At 48.2% G+C, this 27,864-nt stretch overlaps 4 annotated features.

Annotated features, from left to right (window-relative positions):
- Positions 26,435-27,231: a transcriptional cis regulatory region, noted in NCBI's record as "candidate enhancer chr5.4044 targeted for multiplex CRISPR interference". NCBI's record gives its function as "positively regulates LARP1 gene expression in K562 cells {active_cell/tissue: K562}" and the evidence as "EXISTENCE:mutant phenotype evidence [ECO:0000015][PMID:30612741]".
- Positions 26,435-27,387: a biological region, named in NCBI's record as "CRISPRi-validated cis-regulatory element chr5.4044". NCBI's record gives its function as "regulatory_interactions: LARP1".
- Positions 27,093-27,387: an enhancer, noted in NCBI's record as "tiled region #10572; HepG2 Activating DNase matched - State 5:Enh". NCBI's record gives its function as "activates a minimal TATA promoter and a strong SV40 promoter by Sharpr-MPRA in HepG2 cells {active_cell/tissue: HepG2}" and the evidence as "EXISTENCE:reporter gene assay evidence [ECO:0000049][PMID:27701403]".
- Positions 27,093-27,387: a silencer, noted in NCBI's record as "tiled region #10572; K562 Repressive non-DNase unmatched - State 8:EnhW". NCBI's record gives its function as "represses a minimal TATA promoter and a strong SV40 promoter by Sharpr-MPRA in K562 cells {active_cell/tissue: K562}" and the evidence as "EXISTENCE:reporter gene assay evidence [ECO:0000049][PMID:27701403]".

The raw sequence follows: 27,864 nt of genomic DNA, 5'->3' as shown, positions 1-27,864 counted from the left end.
TTTGGGCCAGATAATTCAGCGTTGCGGGTGGCTGTCCTGTGCATTGTAGCATAATTAGCAGCATCCCTCGTGTTTACCCAGTAGATGCCAATAGCACCTCCCTCTCCAGATATGCAAACCAAAATGTCTCTAAACATTTCCAGAAGTCCACTGGGGACAAAATCGTCTGAGATTGAGAGCCACAGCACTACACTGTCCTGCCTCCCCTCATGTAAGTGTTTTCTGAGGGGCTGCAACAACTCCACCTTGTCCAGTGTCTTCAGCTGTCCCTCTTCTTTCACGGTGATCTTCATGACCGTGCAGGTAGCCCCTTGTCTTTGCCACAGTCAACAGAAGGCTTACTAGCCGGGCCACCTTTCCTAGCAACTCAACCTCTCTGTCTCCCAGGCACAGAAGGCACAGGGCTTGGGGCCTGATAGACACCTCTATAGCTCTTATTATTATTTGAATCACAGGAGTTCCCTGGGGTCAGAGCCTGGAGGAGAAGTGCCCCGAACCTGCTGACCCTCTCTGGCCCAGAGCTGTGGACACTGCTGGTTCTGTGAGTTTGTTTTCCTGGTTGAGCAAGAACACCACACGATGGTGTTGGGCCAAAACTGGTCCCATTTTATGCTACTATATCTCCACTGCCCAGGCTGGAGTGCACTGGCATGATCACGGCTCATGGCAGCCTTGACTTTCCGGGCTCAAGGGATCCTCCCACCTCAGCCTCCTGAGTAGCTGCTTACTAGGCACATGCCACCATTCCTGGCTAACTTTTGTATTTTTGGTAGAGATGGGGTTTCACCATGTTGCCCAGGCTGGTCTTGAACTCCTGGGCTCAATCTATCTGCCCTCCTCCACCCCACAAAGTGCGAAGGGATTACAGATGTGAGCCACCGTGTCCAGCCATCTTATGCTGTTGCATCTTGGCAAATGAAATGGCCTGGCTTTCCCCTCTGGCAGACCCTGATTTTAATGAGCCAGTGCTGTGTTGTGACCACGGCAGGAATTCAGGAAGGGCAAGGCAGAGCTGTCAGCAGGGCTCTTGGCATGTCCAAACCCAGGCCTCAGCAGGGCGTCCATGCTGCTGCGGGACCCTGCCACTGTAGCAGCTCAGGGTCCTGGGGAGCAGGTGCTAGAGAGTGTGGTGGCTCTACCACACACACAAGAGGTCCAACACTCCCACTACAGAGAAGACAGACAGATGGTGGTGCTCACAGAGGACTCCATGCCACCGCTGTGTCTGCCACTTGGGAAAGTCTCTCCTCTGGACTGTTCCTTTACTGCATGACCTCACTCTGCCCCTTCTGTTCTCCTCAATCCCTGCAGTGTTCCTAGTGTTTACAGGGCCCTTTGCTCCATTCCTCCTGGGATGCTGCAGAGCAAGGTGGTTAAGGGTGAGGGCTCCTATACCTGATTACGTGAGTCTGTGTAATCTTGGGCAAAGCACCTCACCTCTCTGTGCCTCAGCTTCCTCATTTCTAAAATGGGGAAAAGTAAGAGGCCCTGTCTCTCAAGATTAAATGAGATAGTGCATGTAAAGGATGCTAGCCATGTGGTAAGCGCTTACTAAATAGCAGCCATTATTATTATTATTATTATTAGAGACAGAGTCCCACTCTGTTGCCCAGGCTGGAGTGCAGTGGTGTGATATTGGCTCACTGCAACCTCCACTTCCTGGGTTCAAGCGATTCTCCTGCCCCAGCCTCCCAAGTAGCTGGGATTACAGGCGTATGCCACCACACCTGGCTAATTTTTGTTTGTTTGTTTGTTTAGTAGAGACGGGGTTTCACCATGTTGGCTAGGCTGGTCTTGAACTCCTGACCTCAGGTGTTCCGTCCGCCTGGGCCTCCCAGGGTGCTGGGATTACGCATGTGAGCCACCACACACAGCCTAGTAGCTATCATCATTGCTATTCTTTTTTTTTTTTTTGAGACAGGGACTTGCTGTGTCGCTTAGGCTGGAGTGTAGTGGTGTGATCACTGCTCACTGCAGCCTCAACACTCTGGGCTCAAGGGATCCTCCTGCCTCAGCCTCCCAAGTAGCTGGGACTAGAGGCATGTGCCACCATGCCCAGCTAATTTTTTTTTTTTTTAAAGACAGAGTTTCACTCTTGTCGCCCAGGCTGGAGTGCAATGGCACGATCTCAGCTCACCACCACAACCTCTGCCTCCCAGGTTCAAGGGATTCTCCCACCTCAGCCTCCTGAGTAGCTGGGATTACAGGTATGTGCTACCACGCCCAGCTAATTTTGTATTTTTAGTAGAGACGGGGTTTCTCCATGTTGGTCAGGCTGGTCTTGAACTCCTGACCTCAGATGATCCGCCCGCCTCGGCCTCCCAAAGTGCTGGGATTACAGGCATGAGCCACTGCGCCTGGCCAATTTTTTTTTTTTTTTTTTAATTGTTAGTAGAGATGAGGTCTTGCTCTATTGCCCAGGCTGATCTTGAACTCCTGGGCTCAAGTGATCCTCCTGCCTTGATCTCCCAAAGTGCTGGGATTACAGGCATGAGCCACCACGCCTGTCTATTGCTATTATTCTTGAATAACAATAAAAGGAGAATGAGCTCTTACTAATTGCCAAGCAATGTGCTAAACTCTGGACGATCCTTTTCTTGTTTTGTCTCTTCAACAACTCTATGAGGAAAGTGCTATTATTAGCTCCGTAGCTGGGAAGAGGAAGCTCAGGTACAATGGTGTTAAGTAACTTACCCAGGGTGACAGAGCTAAGAAGCAGCAACTCTGAATCTGAACCAGAGTACTGCCACTGTGAAGTCTCACTATCTGCTCCTCTCCACTGAAAGCAGATTTCACCATAGGAAGGAGGAGCTTCTCTTTAGCTGGTTGTCCTGAATAGATGTCAGAGGCCTAGAAGAAGATTGTGTTGAGAGGACAGAACCCCCACATCCCTGACTAGAGCAGAAGGAGGGGTTTGGGCTCAAGGAAGTGAAGTATTTTTTTCTTTTACAGCTATTGATGAAACCACTTAGCACGGTAGGCTGTGGTCTCATGGACGGACTCCAAAAGGTATCACCAAGCGTTTTTGTTTTTTTTTTTTTGAGACGGAGTCTCGCTTTATCACCCAGGCTGGAGTGCAGTGGCTTGATCTCGGCTCCCTGCAGCCTCCTCCTCCCAGGTTCAAGCGATTCTTCTGCCTCAGCCTCCCTAATAGCTGAGATGATAGGCACGCACCACCACGCTCAGCTAATTTTTTGTATTTTTAGCAGAGACAGTGTTTCACCATGTTGCCAGGCTGGTCTCAAACTCCTGACTTCAAGTGATCCACCACCTCGGCCTCCCAAAGTGTTGGGATTAAAGGCATGAGCCACCACGCCTGGCCTTTTTTTGGTTTTGTTGTTGAGACAGGATCTCATTCTGTCACCCAGGCTGGAGTGCAGTGACATGATCTCAGCTCACTGCAGCCTTGACTTCCTAGGCTCAAGCCATCCTCCCACCTCAGCTCCCAAGTAGCTGGGACTACAGGGCGTGTGCCACCACATCTAGCTACTTTTTGTATTTTGGGTTTTTTTTGTTTTTTTTTTTTTCTGAGACGGAGTTCACTCTTGTTGCCTGGGCTGGAGTGCAATGGCGCGATCTCGGCTCACCACAACCTCTGCCTCCCGCGTTCAAGGGATTCTCCTGCCTCAGCCTCCCTGAGTAGCTGGGATTACAGGCATGTGCCACCACGCCCAGCTAATTTTGTATTTTTAGTAGAGACGGGGTTTCACCATGTTGGTCAGGCTGGTCTCAAACTCCCAACCTCAGGTGATCCACCCACCTCGGCCTCCCAAAGTGCTGGGATTACAGGCGTGAGCCACTGCACCCGGCCTAATTTTTGTATTTTTTGTAGAGATGAAGTTTTGCCACATTGCCCAGGTTGGTCTTGAACTCCTATGCTCAAGCAATCTGCCTGCCTCAGCCTCTGAAAGTGCTGGGATTACAGGTGTGCACCACCACCCCTGGCCTTGCCAAGTTTTTACTAGCACATAAAATTTATTTTTGCTACAATCCAGGCTATATATTGTTCTAGTGCTTTTTGTTGGAATTGGACTGTCAGAATGGTACAAAAAGGCATTCACTTGCTACAAGTCAGAGGATAGATGGGAGGCCTATTCTGGAGTTGATGCAGAAGAAAGGTGGTGTGTTTATCAAGAGCTGTGAGAAATTGTCCAGGTGAGTACATATGAGAGGATGGTTTGTAAGGAAGGGTTAGTTCTTCCAACCCATGTGCCAAAGGGGACAAAGGAGACCATGTGATAATTCATTTTTTAAAAAAATATATTCGAGGCAGTTTTTTTCCTTGTACTGTCATAATATAGTTATTAGTTATCTATTGCTGTGTAGCAAATACCCCAAACTTAATGGCTTAAAACAATACATATGTATTACCTCACAGTTTCAGTGGATCTGGATTTCAGGAGTGATTTAGCTGGGTGCTACTGGCACAGGGTCACTCACGAAGTTGTAACCAAGATGTCAGCCAGGTCTGCAGTCATCTGAAGGCTCGAGTAGGGCTGGAGGATCTGCTTCCAAGATGGTGCACCAACATGACTGTTGGCAGCAGGCCTCAGTTCTGTACCACGTGGACCTTTCTGTTGGACTTCTTTAATGTCCTTATATCATGGAGGTGAGCTTCCTCCAGAGCCAGGGAGAACAAGGTGGAGGCCACATTGTCTTTTATGCCTAGCTTTAGAAGCTACGCACTATTGTTCCTGAATATCCTGTTGGTAACACAGGTCAGCCCTGCTCATTGTGGGGAAGGACCATAGAAGTATGTGAGTACCAGGAGGTGAAGATCATGAGGCCATCTTGGGGGCTGGCTATCACAGGGCTCATCATTGCTGACTTGTTTACTATCATGAAAGTAAGTGGGCTGCAAGTACTGAAAAGTGGGCTGTAAGCACTCAAAAGTTGAGAGCTGCTCACTAAACAATTTTATTTACCTGGATTTGTCTGTGGTGTTCCCTTGGAGGCATGACTTTACAAGTCATGTAACCCAGGATGGGTTGAGTGTGGTGGTTCACGCCTGTAATCCCAACGCTTTGGGAGGTGAAGACAGCTGGATCACTTGAGCTCAGGAGTTCGAGACCAGCCTGGGCAGCATGGTGAAACCCCATCTCTACAAAAAAATACAAAAATTAGCTGGCGCAGTGGTGTGTGCCTGTAGTTCCAGCTACTTGGAGGCTGAGGCAGGAGAATCGCTTGAGCCTGGGAGGCAGAGGTTGCAGTGAGCTGAGATGGTGCCACCGCATTCCAGCCTAGGGAATGGTAGTGAAACCCTGTCTCAAAGTCACCCTGACTCCATCAGAAACAAAGCCCTGCAATCCTATGACAATGAAAGTGTATTACCTGTGCCAGGTGCCAGCAGGGAACAATGGTTAAGAGAGTGAATTTTGCAACCAGACAAAACTGGATTCAAATCTTAACTCTCCTATTCTTGACTTGAGGACTTTGGGCAACTGGCTTAACCTTTCTGAGCCTCAGTATTCTTGTGTGTAAAATGGATTAAGATCAACTTCACAAGGTCATGGGGGAGATGGATTAGAGGATCGCAGAGCTATGATAATGGAAGTCAGGTGCCCAGCCAACGTTGACCTATAGATTTATTATTAATAATGACAACAATAAAGTAATAGCTCACATTTATTGAGCTTCTGTTTTTGCCAGTCTGTGAAGTTTGGAGCAGTTAAGAGCCTTGCTCGCCAGGTATGGTGGCTCACACCTGTAATCCCAGCACTTTGGGGGGCCGAGGCAGGCAGGTCATCTAAGGTTGGGAGTTTAAGACCAGCCTGACCAACGTGGTGAAACCCTGTCTCTACTAAAAATACAAAATTATCCGGGGGTGGTGGTGGGTGCATGCCTGTAATCCCAGCTACTCAGGAGGCTGAGGCAGGAGAATCGCTTGAACCAGAAGATGGAGGTTGCGGTGAGCCAAGATCGCACCATTGCACTCCAGCCTGGGCAACAAGAGCAAAACTCCATCTCAGAAAAAAAAAAAAAAAAAAAAAAAAAAAAAGAGCCTTGCCCAAGACACACAGCTAGGAGAGCTGGGACTCAATTCTGGGTCTGTTTCCAAAGCTAACCTGTTTGATAACTTGCTCTTTTCACTTAACAATGGTCTATCATAACCTACATATTACATTGCCCCACCTTCTTCCTTTCTTCCCCCTTCTTTTAGCTATGTAGCAGTACATGAACGTACCATAATTAGTTAACTGTTCCTCTACTGTTGGATTATTGGTTTCTAATTAACGACAAGGTTTCCGTGAGTATCTTTGTGTCCAGAGCTCACAGTGTGCTATGCTAGGCACTTGATGCGTGTACTTCATTTAATCTTCCACCAGCCCAAGGATGTTCAGCTGGGAAATAACTCACTCAGCCTCTAACTTGTCTAACATAGAATGCCTTTTCAGGACTAAGAATCCCCTGCCTTCTCAATCCTGAAATTTTTCATTCCAATTGGGCCACCAAGGAATATCTTTCTTTCCTCTGCAGCAGGTTTATCTGAGAGACCAGGGAAGTGGGCTTGGAGTCTCCAAACTCAGGTTTAACAAAAGGATGGGCCTTGATAGGTTTTCACCAGGCTCATGGCAGCTTTGACTAACCAGACATGAACCTGTATCAGTCAGGATGGGCTGGGTTGTGCTGCAGTAACAACCCTCAAGTGAGTGGCTTCAAACACGCATTGTGGGACTGTTGTGTGCTCTGTTTTGTGCTGTCTTTACTCCAGGTCCAAGTTGATAGAGCAGCCACCAACTTGAACATTGCCAGTTGTCATTCCTGGAGCCAAGAGAAAATGTAGTAAATTGCACGTTGCTCTTAAAACATCCACCTGGAAGTGACACATGTTATTTCCTCTGATTTTTTTTTTTTTTTTTTTTTTTTTTTTGACAAAGCACATCACAGAGCTACACTTAACTCTGAAGAGACAGGGAAGTTCATCCTACCATGTACCCAGAATGTGGAGAACTGGAATATTTGATAAACAATACTAATGACCACCAAAAGCCTTGTCCTTTGCTAATCATTAAAAAAAAAATTGTCCACCAATTCTAACGACATCTTGGAACAATTAAGTCCAGGCGTGGCTTAACATTCTGTCCTGGAGGAAAGACCCTTCCATCTAAAACCCCTCTTGCCCACATCCTGAAGCCAGCTCGCCCTGAATCATGGGACCCTGGAGATGAGGAGAACAGAGGAGAGCAAGGTCAGGGAGATGGCTGGTGGATTCCACCGGTGACCATGGGCAGAGCTCTGAATTCTGAATTGTATTAGCCCACAGAGTAACTATGCATCTGTGTTGTGGGGTAGTGGAAAGGCCATCTGACTCCTGTGTGACCTTGGACAAGTCATCTGGAAAGATCCTAAATGCATCTCAAAGGGGAATGCAGGCTGGGCGCAATGGCTCACGCCTGTAATCCCAGCACTTTGGGAGGCTGAGGTGGGCAGATCACAAGGTCAAGAGATCGAGACCATCCTGGCCAACATATTGAAACCCCGTCTCTACTAAAAATATAAAAATTAGGTGGACATGGTGGCAAGCGCCTGTAGTCCCAGCTACTCAGGGTGCTGAGGCAGGAGAATCGCTTGAACCCGGGAGGCGGAGATTGCAGTGAGCTGAGATCACGCCACTGCACTGCAGCCTGGCGACACAGCGAGACTCCATCTCAAAAAAAGAAAAAATAATAATAATAATAAATAAGACTGAGGTGGGCGGATCACGAAGTCAGGAGTTCGAGACCAGCCTAGCCAAGACCCATCTCTACTAAAAATACAAAAAAATTAGCCGGGAGTGGTAGTACATGCCTGTAGTCCCAGGTACTCAGGAGGCTGAGGCAGGAGAATCGTTTGAACCTGGGAGGCGGAGGTTGCAGTGAGCTGAAATCATGCCACTGCACTCCAGCCTGGGTGACAGAGTGAGACTTCATCTCAAAAAATAAATAAATAAAAATAAATAAATAAATATAATAAATAGGCCAGGCATAGTGGCTGATGCCTGTAATCCCAGCATTTTAGGAGGCTAAGGTGGGCAGATCGCCTGAGGGCAGGAGTTCAAGACCAGCCTCGCCAAAAAGGTGAAACCCCATCTCCACTAAAAATACAAAAATTAGCCAGGCGTGGGATCACGTACCTGTAATTCCAGCTACTCGGGAGGCTGAGGCAGGAGAATTGCTTGATCCTGGGAGGCAGAGGTTGCAGTGAGCTGAGATCGTACCACTGCACTCCAGCCTAGGCAACAGAGTGAGACTCTGTCTCAAAAATAATAAATAAATAAATAAATAAATAAATAAAGCAAGCAAGCAGGCGTGGTGGCTCACACCTATAATCCTAGCTCTTTGGGAGGCTGAGGTGGGCAGATCACTTGATGTCAGGAGTTTGAGACCAGCCTGGCCAACATGGTGAAACCCCATCTCTACTAAAAATACAAAAAATTTAGCCAGGGTTGGTGGTGTATGCCTGTAATCCCAGCTACTTGGGAGGCTGAGGCATGAGAATCACTTGAATCCGGGAGGCAGAGGTTGTGGTGAGCTGAGATGGTGCCACTGCACACCAGCCTGGGCGACAGAGCAAGACCCTGACTCATAATAATAATAATAATAATATAAATAAAATGAGGTGGTTGGACAAGAATGGTAGATTGTTATTGGACAACAAGACTTCAGAGACCAATGAAATGTCAGGGAAAAAGAAATTGGGAACTGACATAAGGGAAGTCCATTTTATTTATTTAATTTAACTTAATTTAATTTAATTTAATTTTATTTTATTTTTTGAGACGGAGTCTCACTCCATTGCCCAGGCTGGAGTGCAGTGGCACAACCTCAGCTCACTGCAACCTCTGCCTTCCAGGTTCAAGTAATTCTCCCACCTTAGCCTCCCCAGTAGCTGGGACTACAGGTGTGCACCACCATGCCTGGCTCATTTTTGTATTTTTTGGTAGAGACGGAGTTTCACCATGTTGGCCAGGCTGGTCTCGAATTCCTGACCTCAGGTGATCTGTCTGCCTCGGCCTCCCAAAGTTCTGGGATTACAGGGGTGAGCCACCAAACCCAGCCAATTGTGCCTGGTCTTTTTTTTTTTTTTTTTTTGAGACAGAGTCTTGCTCTGTCGCCCAGGCTGGAGTGCAGTGGCGCAATTTTGGCTCACTGCAAGCTCCGCCTCCCAGGTTCACGCCATTCTCCTGCCTCAGCCTCCCAAGTAGCTGGGACTACAGGTGCGCCCACTACCACAGCCGGCTAATTTTTGTATTTTTAGTAGAGACGGGGTTTCACCGTGTTAGCCAGGATGGTCTCGATCTCCTGACCTCGTGATCCACCCACCTCGGCCTCCCAAAGTGCTGGGATTACAGGCGTGAGCCACCGCGCCTGGCCTTGTGCCCGGTCTTAATAATCAATACTTATCAGGCACTTACTATGTGCCAAGCCTTTTGCTAACTGCTTTACCGGTCTCTTTCCACTTAATTCTCATCACAACCTTGTGAAGCAGAAACTTTTATTGCTCCATTTCACAGATGTGGAAGCCGAGGTTCAGAAAGGTAAAGCAATTTGCCTAAAGTTACACATATCCCGGAATCTGACACCCAGAAAGTTGTGTAAACTGTGTCTCCTCCCACTTCACTTGCTGAGTGCTTTGCTCTCTGTCCATCCTGTACCCCTGAGAACCAAAGGGTGGCCTACCAGGATTTGAGGTTCAGCTGAAGGTCAGGGGATAGAGGAAACCCTTGCTTAGGTCCCACTGACATGTGGTCAGGAACCCTTACCAGAAAAATCTCTGAGAGGTGATTCTGTGGCTTAGTGATGAGGGAAGCACACGTTCTCCTGCTCATCAGCCAAGGCTGTCTTATCTTGTCCTCCCTCCCTCACTCCCTCATCAGCCCCTGGGGCATTGGTCTAGGGTCAGCCCCATACAGGAACTCCTGAGACAGCTCAGGTCAGCCAACTCATGTGCCGTAGTGCCTTTAAGTGTGTTCCCCAACTCCCGACTCCCAGAAACCAAGCAGCAGCCTTCATTTGTACATCGCAAGTTCATTCACTTACCATCTTTGGACTGAAGGCCTGCCATATGCCAGGTGCTGTGATGAGTGCCTAGAAAAGGACAAGAAGAAGTTCCTGCGCTCATGGAGCTCAGTGTGGGAGTGGGAAGAGAAAGGGTTCCCGATACCTTCTGGTTGTGTTCACGCACTGGCTCCAGACTAGGCAAGGCTGCTAGCAACACGCTCTTCTCAGTCCTTCATTGGGCAAATTAAAATAGTTAATGCTACTGGGCTAACAGGTGTTGGTTTGGTGAGGCCTAAAGTTCACACAAGCTCAGGAGCCTTCTTTAAGAAAAGAAAGTAAGGCCAGGCACGGTGGCTCACACTTGTCATCCCAGCACTTTGGGAGGCCGAGGTGGGTGGATCATGAGGTCAAGAGATCGAGACCATCCTGGCCAACATGGTGAAACCCCGTCTCTACTAAAAATACAAAAATTAGCCGGGCGTGGCAGCGTGCACCTGTAGTCCCAGCTACTTGGGAGGCTGAGGCAGGAGACACTTGAAACCGGGAGGCGGAGGTTGCAGTGAGCTGAGATTGTGCCACTGCACTCCAGCCTGGCAACAGAGCGAGACTCCTCAAAAAAACAAAAAAAAGAAAAAGAAAAAGAAAGTAAAATGCAAAATTATAAATACAAAACTAGGCCGGATGTGGTGGCTCATGTCTGTAATCCCAGCACTTTGGGAGGCCAAGGCAGCTGGATCACGTGAAGTCAGGTATTTGAGAGCAGCCTGACCAACATGGTGAAACACCATCTCTACTAAAAATACAAAAAATTAGCCAGGTGTGGTGGCAGGCGCCTGTAATCCCAGCTACTCAGGAGGCTGAGGCAAGAGAACCGCTTAACCTGGGAGGTGGAGGTTGCTGTGAGCCGAGATCCTGCGGTTGCACTCCAGCCTGGGCAACAAGAGTGAAACTCCGTCTCAAACAAACAAACAAATATATGAGACCATGTTGTCCTCCCCTATGCCAGAACCTTCAGTGGCTCTTTTACCCAAGCTGGAGTGTAGTGGTGTGATCATAGCTCACTGCAGCCTTGAACTCCTAGGCTCAAGCCATCCTCCTGCCTCAGCCTCCCGAGAGTAGCTGGGATTATAGGCATGCACCATCATGCCCAACTAATAAAAAAATTTTTTTTTGTGGATGGGGTCTCACTATGTTGCCCAGGCTGGTCTTGAACTGTTTCATCCTGGGCTCAAGTGATGCTCTCACCTCGGCCTCCCGAGGGGCTGGGATTATGGGCATGAGCCACCGTGTCTGACTCTGGTGGCTCTTATTTACTTATTATTTGGCTCTAACTTCTCTTTTTTTTTTTTTTTTTTGAGATGGAGTCTTGATCTGTCGCCCAGGCTGGAGCGCAATGGCTCAGCCCCCCGAGTAGCTGGGATTACAGGCATGTACCACCATGCCCCACTAATTTTTGTATTTTTAGTAGAGCAGGGGTTAAGCCATGTTGGCCAGGCTGGTCTCAAACGCCTGACCTCAGGTGCTCCGCCCGCCTTGGCCTCCCACAGTGCTGGGATTATAGGTGTGAGCCACCGTGCCCAGCCTTTAACTTATTCTTAAAGACAAAAGTCCCTAATGTGGCTTCCTGGTTCTCAGGTCCCAGCTCATCTTTCTCTGTTGATCCCATTGCTGGCCCTCCTGGCCACATGGCAGGCTTTCTCACCTTGGGCTTTACACACACCATTCCCTCTCTCTAGCACACTCTTCCCCAGTCTTCCCCAGGCGAACTCCTAGTCATCCTTTCCATCTCGTGGACAGCATCTCTTTTTTGGAGAGGCCTTCTCTGACCATCCCCAGTTTAAATGAAGCTCCCCCAAACAGACACTGAGGTAACCTACTGTAGTAGGCTGAGAAATAGCCCCATATAGATATCAGGCCCTAATTCCTGGAACTTAAGAATGTTACATTCTTTGGATAAAGGGTAACATTTGTGGATGTGAGGAAGGACCTTGAGATGGGGAGGTTATCCTGGGTTATCAGGGTGGGCCCTAAATGCATTCACATGTAACCTTCTAAGCAGGAGGCAGAGAGAGATGTGACACTCACAGAAGAGAAGACAATGTGAACACAAAGCAGACAGATTTGAAGATGTGCTAGCTTTGAAGAATGCAGCGATGTGACCACAAGCCAAGGAATGCCAGCAGCCACCAGAAGCTGAAGAGGCAAGGAACAGATTCTCCTCTAGAGCCTCCGGAGGGAGGGAAGCTCTGCTACCACCTTAATTTTGGCCCAGTGGCCAGTTGCAGTGGCTCATGCCTGTAATCCCAGCACTTTGGGAGGTCAAGGCAGGCAGATCACCTGAGGTCAGGCGTTTAAGACCAGCCTGGCCAACATGGTGAAAGCCCATCTCTACTAAAAATATAAAAATTAGCCGAGCGTGATGGTGGGTGCCTACAATCCCAGCTGCTTGAGAGGCTGAGGTGGGAGAATCACTTGAACCTGGGAAGCAGAGGTTGCAGTAAGTCAAGATTGTGCCACTGCACGCCAGCCTGGGCCACAGAGTGAGACTCCTTCTCAAAACAAAAAAAAAAATTGGCTGGGTGTGGTGGCTCATGCCTGTAATCCCAGCACTTTGGAAGGCAGAGGCAGGCGGATCACCTGAGGTCAGGAGTTCGAGACCAACCTGACCAACATGGAGAAACCCTGTCTCTGTTAATAAAATACAACATTAGCTGGGCATGGTGGCACATGCCTGTAATCGCAGCTACTTGGTAGGCTGAGGCAGGAGAATCATTGAACCTGGGAGGCGGAGGTTGCGGTGAGCCAAGATCGTGCCATTGCACTCCAGCCTGGGCAACAAGAGCAAAACTCCGTCTCAAAAAAAAAAAAAGCAACAACTAATTTTTTTGGCCCAGTGATACGGATTTTGACTTCAGGCCTCCAGAATTGTAAGAAAATAAATTTCTCTGGCTGGGCACAGTGGCTCACGTCTGTAATCCCAGAGCTTTGGGAGGCCAAAGCGGGAGGATAGCTTGAGGCTAAGGGTGGGAGACCAGCTTTGGCAACACAGAGAGACCCCATATCTATAAAAAAATTACAAAATTAGCCAGGCATAGTGGCCCATGCCTGTAATCCCAGCACTTTGGGAGGCCGAGGTGGGCAGATCACCTGAGGTAGGGAGTTCAAGACCAGCCTGAGCAATATGGAGAAACCCTGTCTCTACTAAAAATACAAAATCAGCTGGGCGTGGTGGCCCATGCCTGTAATCCCAATCGCTCGGGAGGTTGAGGCGGGAGAATCACTTGAACCCAGGAAGCAGAGGTTGTGGTAAGCCGAGATTGTACCATTGCACTCCAGTCTGAGTGACAAGTGTGAAACTCTGTCTCAAAAAAAAAAAAAAAAAATTACAAAATTATCCAGGTGTCATGGCACACATCTGTAGTTCCAGCTACTCTGGAGGTTGAGGTGGGAGGATTGCTTGAGCCCAGGAGGTCAAGGCTGCAGGAGGCCATGATGGTGTTACTACACTCCAGCCTGGGGAACAGAGTGAGACCTTGTGTTTATTTTTTTTTCTTCACAAAGACAGGGTTTCACAATGTTGGCCAGGCTGGTCTTGAACTCCTGACCTCAAGGAATCCACCCTCCTTGGCTTCCCAAAGTTCTGGGATTACAGGTGTGAGCCACTCTTCCCGGTCTCAGCTAATTTTTGTTTTTTCTACAGACAGGGTCTCGTCATGTTGCCCAAGCTGTTCTCAAACTCCTGGGCTCAAGTGATCCACCTGCCTCGGCCTCCCAAAGTGCTGGGATTACAGGCATGAGCCACTGTGCCCAGCCTCTCATACCATTTTTAAAATGTAAGCCATCACAATGTGTAATAATATTTGTAATGGTGTGTTTATCTCTTTCAGGTCTGCTTCTTCCACTAGACTGAAATTTCTTTTTTTTGAGACAGAGTTTCATTCTTGTTGCCCAGGCCGGAGTACAGTGGCACGATCTCTGCTCACTGCAACCTCTGCCTTCCAGGTTCAAGCGATTCTCTTGCCTCAGCCTCCTGAGTAGCTGGGATTGCAGGTGTGCGCCACCACAACTGGCTAATTTTTTGTATTTTTAGTAGAGACCGGGTTTCACCATGTTGGCCAGGCTGGTCTCGAACTCCTGAACTCAGGTGATCCACCTGCCTCAGCTTCCCAAAGTCCTGGGATTACAGGCATGAGCCACCGTGCCGGGCCTAGACTGAATTTTCTTTGAGAACAGAGCCTGTGTCTGTTTTGTACAAATCACAGGGCCGAGTACAGAGTAAGTGCTCAATAAGTATTTGTTCAATGAATGAAAGAGTGAGTGAGTGAATGAATGAACAAATGCCTTCTCTTCTTGAGGTCTCAAGCTCCTCTTAGGAAAAAGTCTACACTTGACTCCTTTCTTTTCCACAGCTTAGCTCTGAACTCCAAGTGAATATTTATGGAATCCTGATTAAGTGGCATGGAATATAGATAATTGAGAATACCTGTTTTTTCTCTCTTCTGGGCTCCAGTCTGCCCTGTGGCCTGGAAATAGGAGGTACTGAATAAAGATTTGTTGAGTGAATAGTGTACAGTCTGGCCCTCTGACAAGGAACAAGGAGGTATGGGGATAGCATTTCAGCCTAGCACATGAGGCCCTGAGAATCCAATGAATACTGAATCCCTGACCAGCCATCAGATTTTAAGGGCAGGCAGAAGCCAGCTCTGAGCTCGACCAGGCTGTGCATGTTTCAAATTCCTGGGAGCCAAGGCTCAGAGAGAAAGAGGAACTTGCTTGAGGTCACCCAGGATGTTGGCAGAGCCAGAATGAGGCTGCACAGCTCCCAGTTTAGTCCTTTCCCCTGTTTAGTGTTCTCCCCACCACCTCTTGCTGCCTTCCAGGTAAGAAGAGAAAGGAAAAGGAGGCCTGGATGCCTAGAGATTTTCCACTTCTAGCAAGAACACCGTCAAGCAAGAGTTCAACCCACCCATTTCACAGATGTGATAACTGAGGTGCTGTGAGGCTGCAGGCCTTGCCTCACAGAGAGTTTGCAGGGGCTAGAAGCCCAGCCCAGGTGACCCCAATGTGAAGCTTTTTCTATATGTATGTACTATTTCTCTACTATTTCTTGACCAGCCTAGAGTGAATCTCACCTCCCCAAATGATATGGTATGAACGTTTGTCCCTGCCAAATCTCATATTGAAATATAATTCCCAATGTTGGATGTGGGGCCTCATGAAAAGTGATTGGATCATGGAGGCAGATGCCTCATGAATGGATTAGCACCATCCTCTTAGTTCATGTAAGATCTGGTTGTTTCAAAGAGTCTGGGACCTCCCCCTTCTCTCTCATGCTCCCACTCTTGCCCTGTGATGTACCTGCTCCCCCTTTGCCTTCCACCATGATTGTAAGCTTCCTGAGGCCTCACCAGAAGGAGTTGCTGGCATTATGCTTCTTGTACAGCCTGCAGAATTGTGAGCCAATTAATACTCTTTTCTTTATAAATTACTCAGCCTCAGGTATTTATTTATAGCAATATGACAATGGCTTAACACAGAAAATTGATACCAGAGGCCAGGCGTGGGGGCTCACACCTGTAATCCCAGCTACTCGGGAGGCTGAGGCAGGAGAATCACTTGAACCCAGAAGGTGGAGGGTGCAGAGAGCCAAGATCATGCCATTGCACTCCAGCCTGGGCAACAAGAGTGAAACTCCATGTCAAAAAAAAAAAAACAAAAAAACAAAAAACAAAAAACAAAAAACAAACAAACAAAAAAAACCCCAGAAAATTGGTACCAGGAGTAGGGTGTTACTATAAAGATATCTGAAAATGTGGAAGTGACTTTGGAATTGGGTAACAGGCTGAAGTTGAAAGAATTTGGAGGGCTCAGAAGAAGACAAGAAGATGAGAAGACAAATGATTTTGACCAAAATGCTGATAGTAACATGGACAGTGAAGGCCAGGCTGACAAGGTCTAAGATAGAAATGAGGAAGTTAGGCAGGGCACAGTGGCTCATGCCTGTAATCCCAGCACTTTGGGAGGCTGAGGTGGGCAGATCACCTGAGGTCAGGAGTTTGAGACCAGGCTGGCCAACATGGTGAAACCCCCATCTCTACTAAAAATACAAAAATTAGCCGGGCATGGTAGTGCGTGCCTGTAATCCTAGCTACTAGGGAGGCTGAGGCATGAGAATCACTTGAACCTGGGAGGTGGAGGCTGCAGTGAGCCGAGATCGTGCCACTGCACTCCAGCCTGGGCGACAACAGCAAAACTAAAAAAAAAAAAAAAAAAAAAGCAAAGAAATGAGGAGGTTATTAGGAACTGGAGTAAAGGACACCCGTTTTATGACCTAACAAAGAACTTGGAGCATTGTGTCCATGTCTGAGGGCTCTTTGGAAGTTTGAACTTAAGGGTGACGACCTCTGGTATCTGGTGGAAGAAATTGCTAAGCAGCAAAGCATTCAAGATGTGGTCTGGCCACTTCTAATAATCTAAATGAGATATGGGAACAAAGAAATAACAAAGTTGGAATTTATTTTTAAAAGAAGAGTAGAGCATAAAAGTTCGAAAAATTTGCAGCCTGGCCCAGTGGTGGAGAAAGAATCCAAGTAGGCTGTGGAGTAACCACTTGCTACAGAGATCAACATGACTAAAAGGCAGCCAGGTGTTAATATCCAAGACAATGGGAAAGAGGCCTCAAAGCCATTTCAGAAGGTTTTTGGAAAGCCCCTTCCATCACAGGTCCATAGGCCTAGAAGGAGGAGGAAAGAATGGTTTTCTGGGCCAGGCTCAGGGCACCAATGCCCTGCACCACCTCCAGAGGCTGCTCCCCTCATGCCCACTGCTTCAGCTCCAGCCATGACTCAAAGGGCCCCAGGTACAGCTTGGGCTGCCACTTCAGAAGGCACAAGCCATAAGCCTTGGTGGCTTCTACATGCTGTTAAGCCTGCAGATGCACAGAATGCAAGAGTGAAGGAGGCTTGGCAGCTTCCTCCTAGATTTCAGAGGATGTATAGAAAAGCCAGGGTACCCAGGCAGAAGCCTGCTGCAGGGGTGGAGCCCCCACAGAGAAACTCTACTTGGGCAATGCTGAGTGGAAATGTGGGGTTGGAGCCCCCATACAGAGTCCCCAACAGGGCACTGCCTACTGGAGCTGCAGGAAGGGGGCCACCGCCCTCCAGACCCCAGAATTGTAGACCCACTTCAGCATGGAAAAGCCACAGGCATTCAACTTCAACCCACAAGAGCAACCACATGGGCTATGCCCAGGAAAGCCACGGGGTGGGGCTGCCCAAGGCTTTAGAAACCAATCCCTCACACCAGGATCTGGGACATGGAGTCAAGGATTATTTTGGAGCTTTAAGATTTAATGCCCACCGTGCTGGGTTTCAGACTTGTGTGGGGACTATTACCTCTTTCTTTTGGCCAATTTCTCCCTCTTGTAACAAGAAGGATTACCCAATGCCTGTACCGTCTCATAGGTGGAAGGAACTTGACTTTGAGTCTCAAATGAGACTTTGGATTTTGGAGTTTGGGACTTTTGAGTTAAGGCTGGAACAAGTTTTGAGTTAAGGCTGGAACAACTTTGGGGTACTATTGCAAAGGCATGATTGTATTTTGAAATGTGAGAAGGGCATGAGATTTGGGAGGCCAGCAGTGGAATGATATAGATATTTATCCCTTCCAAATCTCATGTTGAAATGTGATTCCCAATGTTGGAGGTGGGGCCTGGTGGGAAGTAATTAGATCATGGGGGTAGATTTCTCATGAATGGCTTAGCATCATCCTTTTGGTAAGGAGTGAATTCTCACTCAGTTCATGCAAGATCTGTTTGTTTAAAACAGTCTGGGGCTGGGGGCGGTGGCTCACGCCTATAATCTCAGCACTATGGGAGGCCAAGGCAGGCAAATCACTTGAGGTCAGGAGTTCGAGACCAGCCTGGCCAACATGGTAGAACCCCGTCTCTACTAAAAAAAACACAAAAATTAGCCAGGCATGGTGGTGTGTGCCTGCAGTCCCAGCTACTTGGGAGGCCGAGGCACAAGAATCGCTTGAACCCAGGAGATGGAGGTTGCAGTGAGCTGAGATCGTGCCAGTGCACTTCAGCCTGGGTGACAGAGTGAGACTCTGTCTAAATAAATAAATAAATAAGGGCCGGGTGTGGTGGCTCACGCCTATAATCCCAGCACTTTGGGAGGCCGAGGCAGGTGGATTACCTGAGGTCAGGAGCTCGAGACTGGCCTGGCCAATATGGTGAAACTCCATCTCCAGTAAAAATACAAAAAAAAAAAAAAAAAAAAAAAAGCTGGGCATGGTGGCGGGTGCCTGTAATCCTGGCTACTCGGGAGGCTGAGGCAGGAGAATCCCTTGAACTTGGGAGGCAGAGGCTGCAGTGAGCTGATATTGCACCACTGCACTCCAGCCTGCATGACAGAGTGAGACTCCATCTCAAAAATAAAATAAAATAAAATACAATAAAAATAGATAAATAAATACGTAAATAAAAGAGTCTGGGACCTTCCCTTTTTCTGTCTCTCTCATACTCTTACCATGTGAGGCACCTGCTTCCCCTTCCCCTTCCACCATGACTGTAAGTTTCCTGAGGCTTCACAGAAGCAAATGCCGGCACTATGTTTCTTGTACAGCCCACAGAACTGTGGGCAATTAAACCTGATTTTTTTTTTTTTTTTTTTTTTGAGACAGAGTCTTGCTCTGTCGCCCAGGCTGGAGTGCAGTAGCGTGATCTTGGCTCACTGCAACCTCTGCCTCCTGGGCACAAGCAATTCTCTAGCTTTAGCCTCCTGAGTAGCTGGGACCACAGGTGCATGCCACCATGCCTGGCTGATTTTCATGTGTTTAGTAGAGGTGGAGTTTCACCGTGTTGGCTAGTCTGATCTCAAACTCCTGGCCTCAAGTGATCCGCCTGCCTCTGCCTCCCAAAGTCCTGGGATTACAGGTCTGATCCACCATGCCTGGCCTATTTTTAAAATAAATTAGCCAACCTCAGGTCTTTCTTTCCTTCTTTTCTTTTCTTCTTTCTTTCTTTCTTCTCTCCCTCTTTTTTTTTTTTTTTTTTTTTTTTTTTTTTTTTTTTACAGTTTCACTCTTGTTGCCCATGCTTGAGTGCAATGGCACGATCTTGGCTCATCGCAACCTCTGCCTCCTGGGTTCAAGCAATTCTCCTGCCTCAGTCTCCCAAGTAGCTGGGATTACAGGCATGTGCCACGATGTCCGGCTAATTTTGTATTTTTGGTAAAGACGAGGTTTCTTCATGTTGGTCAGGCTGGTCTCGAACTCCCAACCTCAGGTGATCTGCCCGCATCAGCCTCCCAAAGTGCTAGGATTACAGGCATGAGGCACCGCGCCCGGCTAGGTATTTCTTTATAGCGATGCAAAAACAGCCTAACACACCAGATTTAGGATTTATTGTTCGCATTTTCTCCACATGTCGACAGTTCAAGGTGGCTGAGAAATCTGCTTGGCTGATCATGCTGGTCCTTCAGGTGAACAAACAGGAAGCTCAGAGCATCCCAGTGTCTAGTCCAGGGTCACTGAACAGCCACCATCGTGGCCATTGTGCAGCCACCTGCGGTTTAGCAACTTCCTCCAGCAGGGCAGGCAGAGGAGGGGAGACACAGCCAGGGAATAAGGGATTGATGCATTTTAGGGAGCCCAAGATCAGGGGTGCTTTCTTCCACATGTGTAGCCAGAACCTTGCACTCATTTAGCAGTTCTCAAACTTTTCAGTCTTGGAACCTCTTTATACTCTTCAAAATTATTGAGGACCCCAAAGAGTTTTTGTTCATGTGGGTTATATCTATCAGTACTGACTGTATTAGAAATTAAAGCTGAGGGCTGGGCACAGTGGCTCATGCCTGTAATCCCAGCACTTTGGGAGGCCGAGGAGGGTGGAACACTTGAGGTCAGGAGTTCAAGACCAGTCTGGCCAACAATGTGAAACCCTGTGTCGACTGAAAATATAAAAGTTAGCTGGGAGTGGTGGCATATGCAACTGTAATCCCAGATACTCGGGAGGCTGAGGCAGGAGAATTACTTGAATCCGGGAGGTGGAGGTTGCAGTAAGCCAAGATGGCACCACTGCACTCCCGCCTGGGCTACAGTGAGGCTGTGTCTCAAGAAAAAAAAAAATTTGAGAAAATTGTATAAATATTAATTAATGTAAAAGTAACAGCAGACACTACACATTAACATAAACCATCTATTTTATGAAAAATAACCACATTTTCAAAAACAAAAAAAATAGTGTGAAGGTAGCTTTTTTTAACATTATTCCAGATTTCTTTAATGTCTGGCTGCGTAGCAGGCAGCTGGATTCTCCTATCTGCCTCTGTTTTCAGTCTGTTGTGATATCACATGACATGTAGCCTCCAGAAAACACCATACGCTCAAGAGAAAATGAGAGTGAAAAAGGCAAATAACATCTTAGTCTTATTATGAAAATAATTTTGACTTCATGGATCCCCTGAAAGAGTCTTGGGGATCCTCAGAGGTCTCCTGACTGTTCTTTGAGAGCCAGTGGTCTACACTACTGATTTAATCTTCACAATAAACCTGTGGGGTGGATCCTGTTGTTCCCATTTTTTATAGAAGAGCAAACAGGCTCTGAGGCTTGCTCAAAGACACACAGCCAGTGAGTGGCAGTTAGGACTTGAACCTGACTGTCAACTCTGGCTCCTGTGCTCTTAATATTAACAGTAACACTGAGCCAGGCGCTGTGGCTCACGCCTATAATCCCAGCACTTTGGGAGGCTGAGGCAGGCAGATCACCTGAGGTCGGGAGTTTGAGACCAGCCTGACTAACATGGAGAAATCCTCATCTCTACTAAAAATAGAAAATTAGCCAGGCATGGTGGTGCATGCCTATAATCCCAGCTACTTGGGAGGCTGAGGCAGGAGAATTGCTTGAACCCGGGAGGCGGAGGTTACGGTGAACCGAGATTGTGCCATTGCACTCCAGCCTGGGCAACAAGAGCGAAACTCTGTCTCAAAAAAAAAAAGAAAAAAAAAAAACCAGCATCACTATACTCCAGCCTCTAGCAGATGGAGAGGGGCTGACACTGTAGGAAGGACAGAATTGGGAAGGAGTCAGGGGCTCTGGGGTGCCATAAGTGGGAAGGAAATATAGTGTGTTGGTTAAGAGTATGGGCTGGGGAATAGTCTGCCTGGACCCACATCCTGGCTTTGTCCCATAGATGCTGTGTGACCTGGTGCAAAGTGCTCAACCTTTTTGGGCCTCAAATATCTCATCTGGAAAATGTGTAATAGGATATTTACATTATAGGGTCCTTAGGAGAATTGAATATTAACTCATATAAATTCTTTTTTCTGTTTGTTTCTGTTTTTTGAATCAGGGTCTCGCTCTGTCGCCCAGGCTGGAGTGCAGTGGTGTGATCTTGGCTCACTGCAACCTCTGCCTCCCAAGCTCAAGTGATTCTTTCACCTCAGCCCCCTGAGTAGCTGGGACTATAGGCACACACCACCATACCCAGCTAATTTTTGTACGTGTGCATTTTTTATAGAAATGGGGTCTCACCATGTTACCCAGGCTGATCTTGAACTCCTGAGCTCAAGATCTGTCCACCTTGGCTTCCCAAAATGTTGAGATTATGGGCGTTACCCACCATGCCCAGCCTAATTCATGTAAATTCTAACAGTGCTCCATACATGTTGTATCCAGTATATGTCTTTTTTTTTTTTTGATACAGAGTCTGTCTCTGATGTGCAGGCTGGAGTGCAGTGGTGTGATCTCGGCTCACTGTAACCTCCGCCTCCCGGGTTCAAGTGATTCTCCTGCCTCAGCCTCTGGAGTAACTGGGATTACAGGTGTGTGCCACCATGCCCAGCTAACTTTTGTATGTTTAGTAGAGATGGGGTTTCACCATGTTGGCCAGGCTGGTCTCAAACTCCTGACCTCATGTGATCCTCCTGCCTTGGCCTCCCAAAGTATTGGGATTACAGGCGTGAGCCTGTATATGTGAGCACCCAGCTGTGTATGTCTTTTAGTTGGTATAAATTTGAGAACAGGGCCATGGACTTGGTTTCCCTGAAGTTGGAGAGAGGCGGGGCACTTTCGGCATGGGTCCAGAATGCAGGGCCCAGGGGAAGGAGAAGATGGGTGACCTGGAGAAGGAGGGGCTGCGAGGCTGAGAACACGTTGCCCTCAGGTGGAGGGCACAGGCTGTCACTCTACTCCATGGACCAGGCATCCAAGCCATCAGTGAAAAACAGTATGACAAGAGAGCCAGTCCCAGGGGACAGAGGCCACATCCCTTGCCCACTGAGGATGAGTCCAGGCCTCCCATGTCCATCCCAGAAAAGCCACCAGACCACTCGTCTCTCCTGACCCAGTTCAGGAGTAAAGCCACAAACTCTAGCTCTCTTTTTCTCCTGTCAGCTCAGCTCTACAAAAATACATCTAGCTTTGTTCACAAAGGGCAAGAAAAAAAGGAAAAAAAAAGGAAAGAAAATACATGTAGAACCACATTGCCAGGCCGGGCACAGTGGCTCATGCCTGTAATCCCAGCAATTTAGGAGGCCGAGGTGGGCAGATCACTTGAGGTCAGGAGTTCGAGACCAGCCTAGCCAACATGGTGAAACCCTGTCTCTGCTAAAAATACAAAAAATTAGCCGGGCATGGTCGCGGGCACCTGTAATCCCAGCTACTGGTAAGGGAGGCTGAGGCAGGAGAATCACTTGAACCCGGGAGGCGGAGGTTGCAGTGAGCTGAGATCATGCCATTGTGCTCCATCCTGGGCGACAAAACGAGACTGTCTCAAAAAACAAAACAAAACAAAACACCACATTGCCAAAGGATCCTAAGAGCCTCTTGCTAAACTGCCTCTTTTCCCTTTTGGTAGGTAAAGGGAGTCCCAGGGTGGGAACTGACCACATTACCCAGCAAGGTGGGGACAGACTCCCTGGCCACCTGGCATCTGATTCAGGTTGCATCCACCATGCCATGTCACTTTCCTTACTCAGCAGGGACTCACAGACTCTTCCTTACTCTGCAGCACTGGAGCCTGACTACCCTGTATGAGTCTCAGCTCTGCTTCTTCTTCGCTGTGTGATTTTAGGTGAGATGCTTAAACTCTCTGTGCCTCAGTTTCTTTATCTATAGAATGGGAATAGTAATTTTACCTCCTTCATTGGGATATGTGTGGATTAAAGTGAGTGGATCCAGGCAAAGAACTTAGAACACTGCCGAGCATAGGGTAAGCATTTAATACCAGTAGCGAACACTGTCACCCTCATCATCATCAAGGTCTTGAGCATCATTTGGGGATACTCTTTGTGGAGAACCCACCCTGCTTTGTGCAAGGGCTTGGGGAGGCATGGGTAAAGGCTGAGCTGAGTTCTGGCCTCTGCATGGAAACTCACTCATTGCTTGATCTTAGGCACATTGCTTCCCTTCTCTGGGCCTTTGGGTCTCCAGCTGGAACAAGGAGAATTTTTTTCTTTTTTTGAGACAGGGTCTCGCTCTGTCACCCAGGCTGGAGTGCCATGGTGTGATCTCTGCTCTCTGCAACTTCCGCCTCCTGGGCTCAAGCAATCCTCCCACCTCAGCCTCCTGAGCAGCTAGGACTACAGGTGTGCGCCATCACACCCAGCTAATTTTTTTTTTTTTTTTGAGACGAAGTCTTGCTCTTGTTCCCCAGGCTGGAGTGTGATGGCGCTATCTCGGCTCACTGCAACCTCCGCCTCCTGGGTTCAAGCGGTTCTCCTGCCTCAGCTCCCCCAAGTAGCTGGGATTACAGGCGCCTGCCACCACTCCTGGCTAATTTTTGTATTTTTAGTAGAGACAGGGTTTCACCATGTTGGCCAGGCTGGTCTAGAACTCCTGACCTCAGGTGATCCACCCACCTCAGCTTCCCAAAGTGCTGGGATTACAGGTGTGAGCCACCGTGCCTGGCCACACCCAGCTAATTTTTTTTGGTATTTTTTGTAGAAATGGATTTTTGTGGCTAGCCATGGTGGCTCACACTTGTAACCCCAGCACTGTGGGGGGCCGAGGCGGGTGGATCACCTGAGGTCAGGAGTTTGAGACCAACCTGGCCAACATGCTGAAACCCCCTCTCTAGTAAAAATACAAAAATAAACTGGGTGTAATGACAGGCACCTGTAATCCCAGCTGCTTGGGAGGCTGAGACGGGAGAATCACCTGAACCCAGGAGGCAGAGGTTGCAGTGAGCCGAGATCATGCCACCACACTCCAGCTTGAGTGACAGAGCAAGACTCCATCTAAAAAACAAAACAAAACAAAACAAAACAAAAAAGGGCCGGGCGCGGTGGCTCATGCCTGTTATCCCAGCACTTTGGGAGGCCAAGGTGGGCAGATCACCTAAGGTCAGGAGTTCAAGACCAGCCTGACCAACATGGAGAAACTCTGTCTCTACTAAAAATACAAAATTAGCCGGGTGGAGGCAGGAGAATCGCTTGAACCCGGGAGGCGGATGTTGTAGTGAGCCGAGATTGCACCACTGCACCTCAGTCTGGGCAAGGAGAGCGAAACGCTGTCTCAAAAAAAAAAAAAAAAAAAGAGAAAAAAGAAGTGGATTTTCACTTTGTTGCCCAGGCTGGTCTCGAACTCCTACACTCAAGTGATCCACCCACCTCAGCCTCCCAAAGTGCTGGGATTACAGGAGTGAGCCACCATGCCAGGCTGGCCAAGGAGAATCTTTTTTTTTTTTTTTTTTTTTTTAAGATGGAGTCTCACTCTGTCACCAAGGCTGGAGTACAGTGGCACTGTGTCAGCTCACTGCAACCTCCGTCTCCTGGGTTCAAGCAATTCTCCTGCCTCAGCCTCTCGAGTAGCTGGGATTAGAGGTGCCCACCACCACGCCTGGCTAGTTTTTATATTTTTCGTAGAGACGGGGTTTCACCATGTTGGCCAGGCTGGTCTCGAACTCCTGACCTCACGTGATCCACCCACCTTGGCCTCCCAAAGTGCTGGGATTACAGGCGTGAGCCACCGTGCCCGGCGGAGAATCTTTAAAAAATTGTTTCTTCAGAAAGAATTGGATCTGCCAAAAAAAAAAAAATTTTTTTTTCTGTTGTACCTCTAGTGTCATGACACTCCTCCCACAAAATGTCCATGCAAATTTGCATAGCCAGTGATTGCAGTATTTTTTTTATAAGCTAACAATAAACATTTAGAAACAGTCTGTTTTTCTTTTTTTAATTTATTTTCTTTTTTATGATGGAACCTTGCTCTGTCGCTCAGGCTGGAGTACGGTGGCGCGATCTCGGCTCACTGCAACCTCTGCCTCCCAGGTTCAAGCGATTCTCCTGCCTCAGCCTCTTGAGTAGCTGGGATGACAGGTGCCCACCACACCTGGCTAATTTTTTTGTATTTTTAGTAGAGACAGGGTTTCACCATGTTGGCTATGCTGGTCTCGACCTCCTCACCTCAGGCGAGCCGCCCACCTTGGCCTCCCAAAGTGCTGGGATCATAGGTGTGAGCCACCGCACCCGGCCTAGAAACAGTCTTGATGTCCTTCCTCATTGGGGTTCTAAAAATAGGAGATTTGTAGCCCTACACTGGAAACCATCCAAATGTCCCCCAGCAGGTGAAGGGATACAGATCGCATGTCCTGCAATGGGGCACTCTTTAGCACAGCAAAGCCATGAGCTACTGGTGACCCGACAGCAACAACATGGAGAAATCTCAAAAGCATTATGCCAAGTGGACGAAGCCTTCCCCGAGAGGGCACATGCTGTGTGATTTCATTTACGATATTCTACAAAAGGGAAATCTACACTACAGGGACAGGAAACAGTTCAGTGGTTGCCTGGGTCTGGGTGTGGGGGCAGGAGATTAATTGCAAAGGGGAATGAAGGAATCTTCCGGACAACGGAAATGTTCCAGACTTCACTGTAGCAGTGGTTACATGGCCAAATAATTTTCCAAAGCTCATTCAACTGTGCTATTTTCTGGGTGCATTTGATTGTATGTAAAGTATACTGCAATAGAGTTGATTTTTTAAAAAATGATGATTCACCCATACAAGGAAAGTTCTGAATTTGTCAAAAGGAGTTTACTACATCTCTAGGCACTAATATAGAAAGATGTCCTTGTTTTTTTGTTTTTTTTTTTGTTTTTTTTTTTTGTAATTAAAAGAAAAACACACATTAGGTTGTTAAGTGAAAAATAAAGGCAGGTTGTGTGATGACACTGGTGACGTTGCCATTTATCAAGAGCTCACTGAGCTGGGTGTAGGTCCATGAAGTGCCCGGCATGTGTAATTTTCTTTACTCTCGACAATATCCGTGCGAGGTTTTATAGACGAGAAAACTGAGGCTCAGAGAGATTAAGTAATGTGTCTGGGTTTGAAGCTGAGGAGCCACATGACTGGGACCTGGGACACACTAGGAGCCACCACACTGTGCTCTATATGATTCCAATTCATTAATTAATTGACCATGTTTATGTGTAGAAAGAAATCTGGAGAAATGACCCCAAACCAGGCCTGGGGATTATGTCTGAAGGCAGATTTACAGGCACTTTCACTTTCCATACTGTCTATTTTTGTTATGTTCTAATTAATTGTAACATGCCTGAATTGCCTTTGTAATCAGAGAAAGCAATACAGATTAAAAAACAAAAAGAAAAGTATTTTAAAAAGTCTCTGTCCTTTATCTCTTTTGCTCAGGGGCTGGGCACCCTCTCTTCACAGCTTCCTCTCCCAAACGGGGACACATGCCTGTCGGGAGCCCCAAGTCCCACTGATAAAGGCCTGAGCCAAGTCCCTTATCAGGCCTGAGCAGGCCCTGCAGTCCCGTCCATCTGGTCCCCCCAGGGAGGGTGGGCCCTGTCCCAGGAATCAGCAGGCTCCAGGGCCCCAGAGATAAGAGGAGCTGCAGGTGGTGGGTGGGAGGCAGTAGGACCAGCAGGGTCAGGGTCTGCAGCAGAGCGATTTATGGACCTGGCTCTGTCTGCTGTGTGGTCCTAGGCACATGTCAGCCCCTCTCTGGTCCTCAGGTTCTTCTGGGATTTCTTGGTTCCAGCCTGGTCCTCTTTTAGGAAGTAACCTGGGGATTCCCCAGGGTATGGGGAGGTAGCAAGATGAATGAGATGTCCTTGGCCCCCAGATCCAATCCCAAGTGGATGTGTGGAGACCCAAACACACCCTTATGGCCCTAAACATATTCACACACACCTGCCTGGGCATGCACAGGTCTGCAGGCCCCAAGGCCAAGCTGGGCCACCCCTGGTCAGGCCAAGGCTGTTTACATGTCCAAAGGTTGGACGCCACCTGCCAGGAAGGCCTCAGCTGGTGAGAATCTGCAGCTTTGTCCCCAGGACACAGATAACATGTTCCTGGGGGCAGGACCGGCAGCCCCAGGAGAGGTGGGGCAAGAACACCCAGGTTGCCCTCTCTGGGAAAACCCTTGCCAGCCTCACTGCTGTGGGTCCTACCTGGCGCCTCTGGGCCCTGCCTGGGGTGCTTCTGCATCCCTTGTGGGTCTAGGAGTGCCTCCAACCCCCCCATGCCAGTTAGTTTGGTTTTTCTGACCTTATCCTGGGTCTGCACTGCCCACTATGCCATGCTTTTTATGCCAATGGGTGCTTCCACGTCCCTAAGCCTCAGTTTCCTCATCTGTAAAATGGGGAAAATCATAGCTCTTACCTGATAGGGACAGTGAGGAATCAATGAGCTAAGGTGTGGCATGGTGTCAGGGGAGTAGAAGTGACCCTCCCCACCCCCTGGCAGTGGGCCAGTCCTTCCCCATCCACGCTGCCCTACAGGATGAATCATGCACAATTCTCATGTCAGTGAAAGCACAGTAGTAACTTAGGGGGCTTCTAGTCAGATTGTGATGATGGGGCTTGCACAGTAAAACCTTAAAAGTGGCAATGTGTGTGTGCCCCAGGCACAGACAG

Source organism: Homo sapiens, chromosome 5, assembly GCF_000001405.40.
Source record: "Homo sapiens chromosome 5, GRCh38.p14 Primary Assembly".
Lineage (NCBI taxonomy): Eukaryota > Metazoa > Chordata > Mammalia > Primates > Hominidae > Homo > Homo sapiens.
Note: the sequence above shows the minus strand (reverse complement) of the source record. Positions and strands in the feature narration are given on the sequence as shown.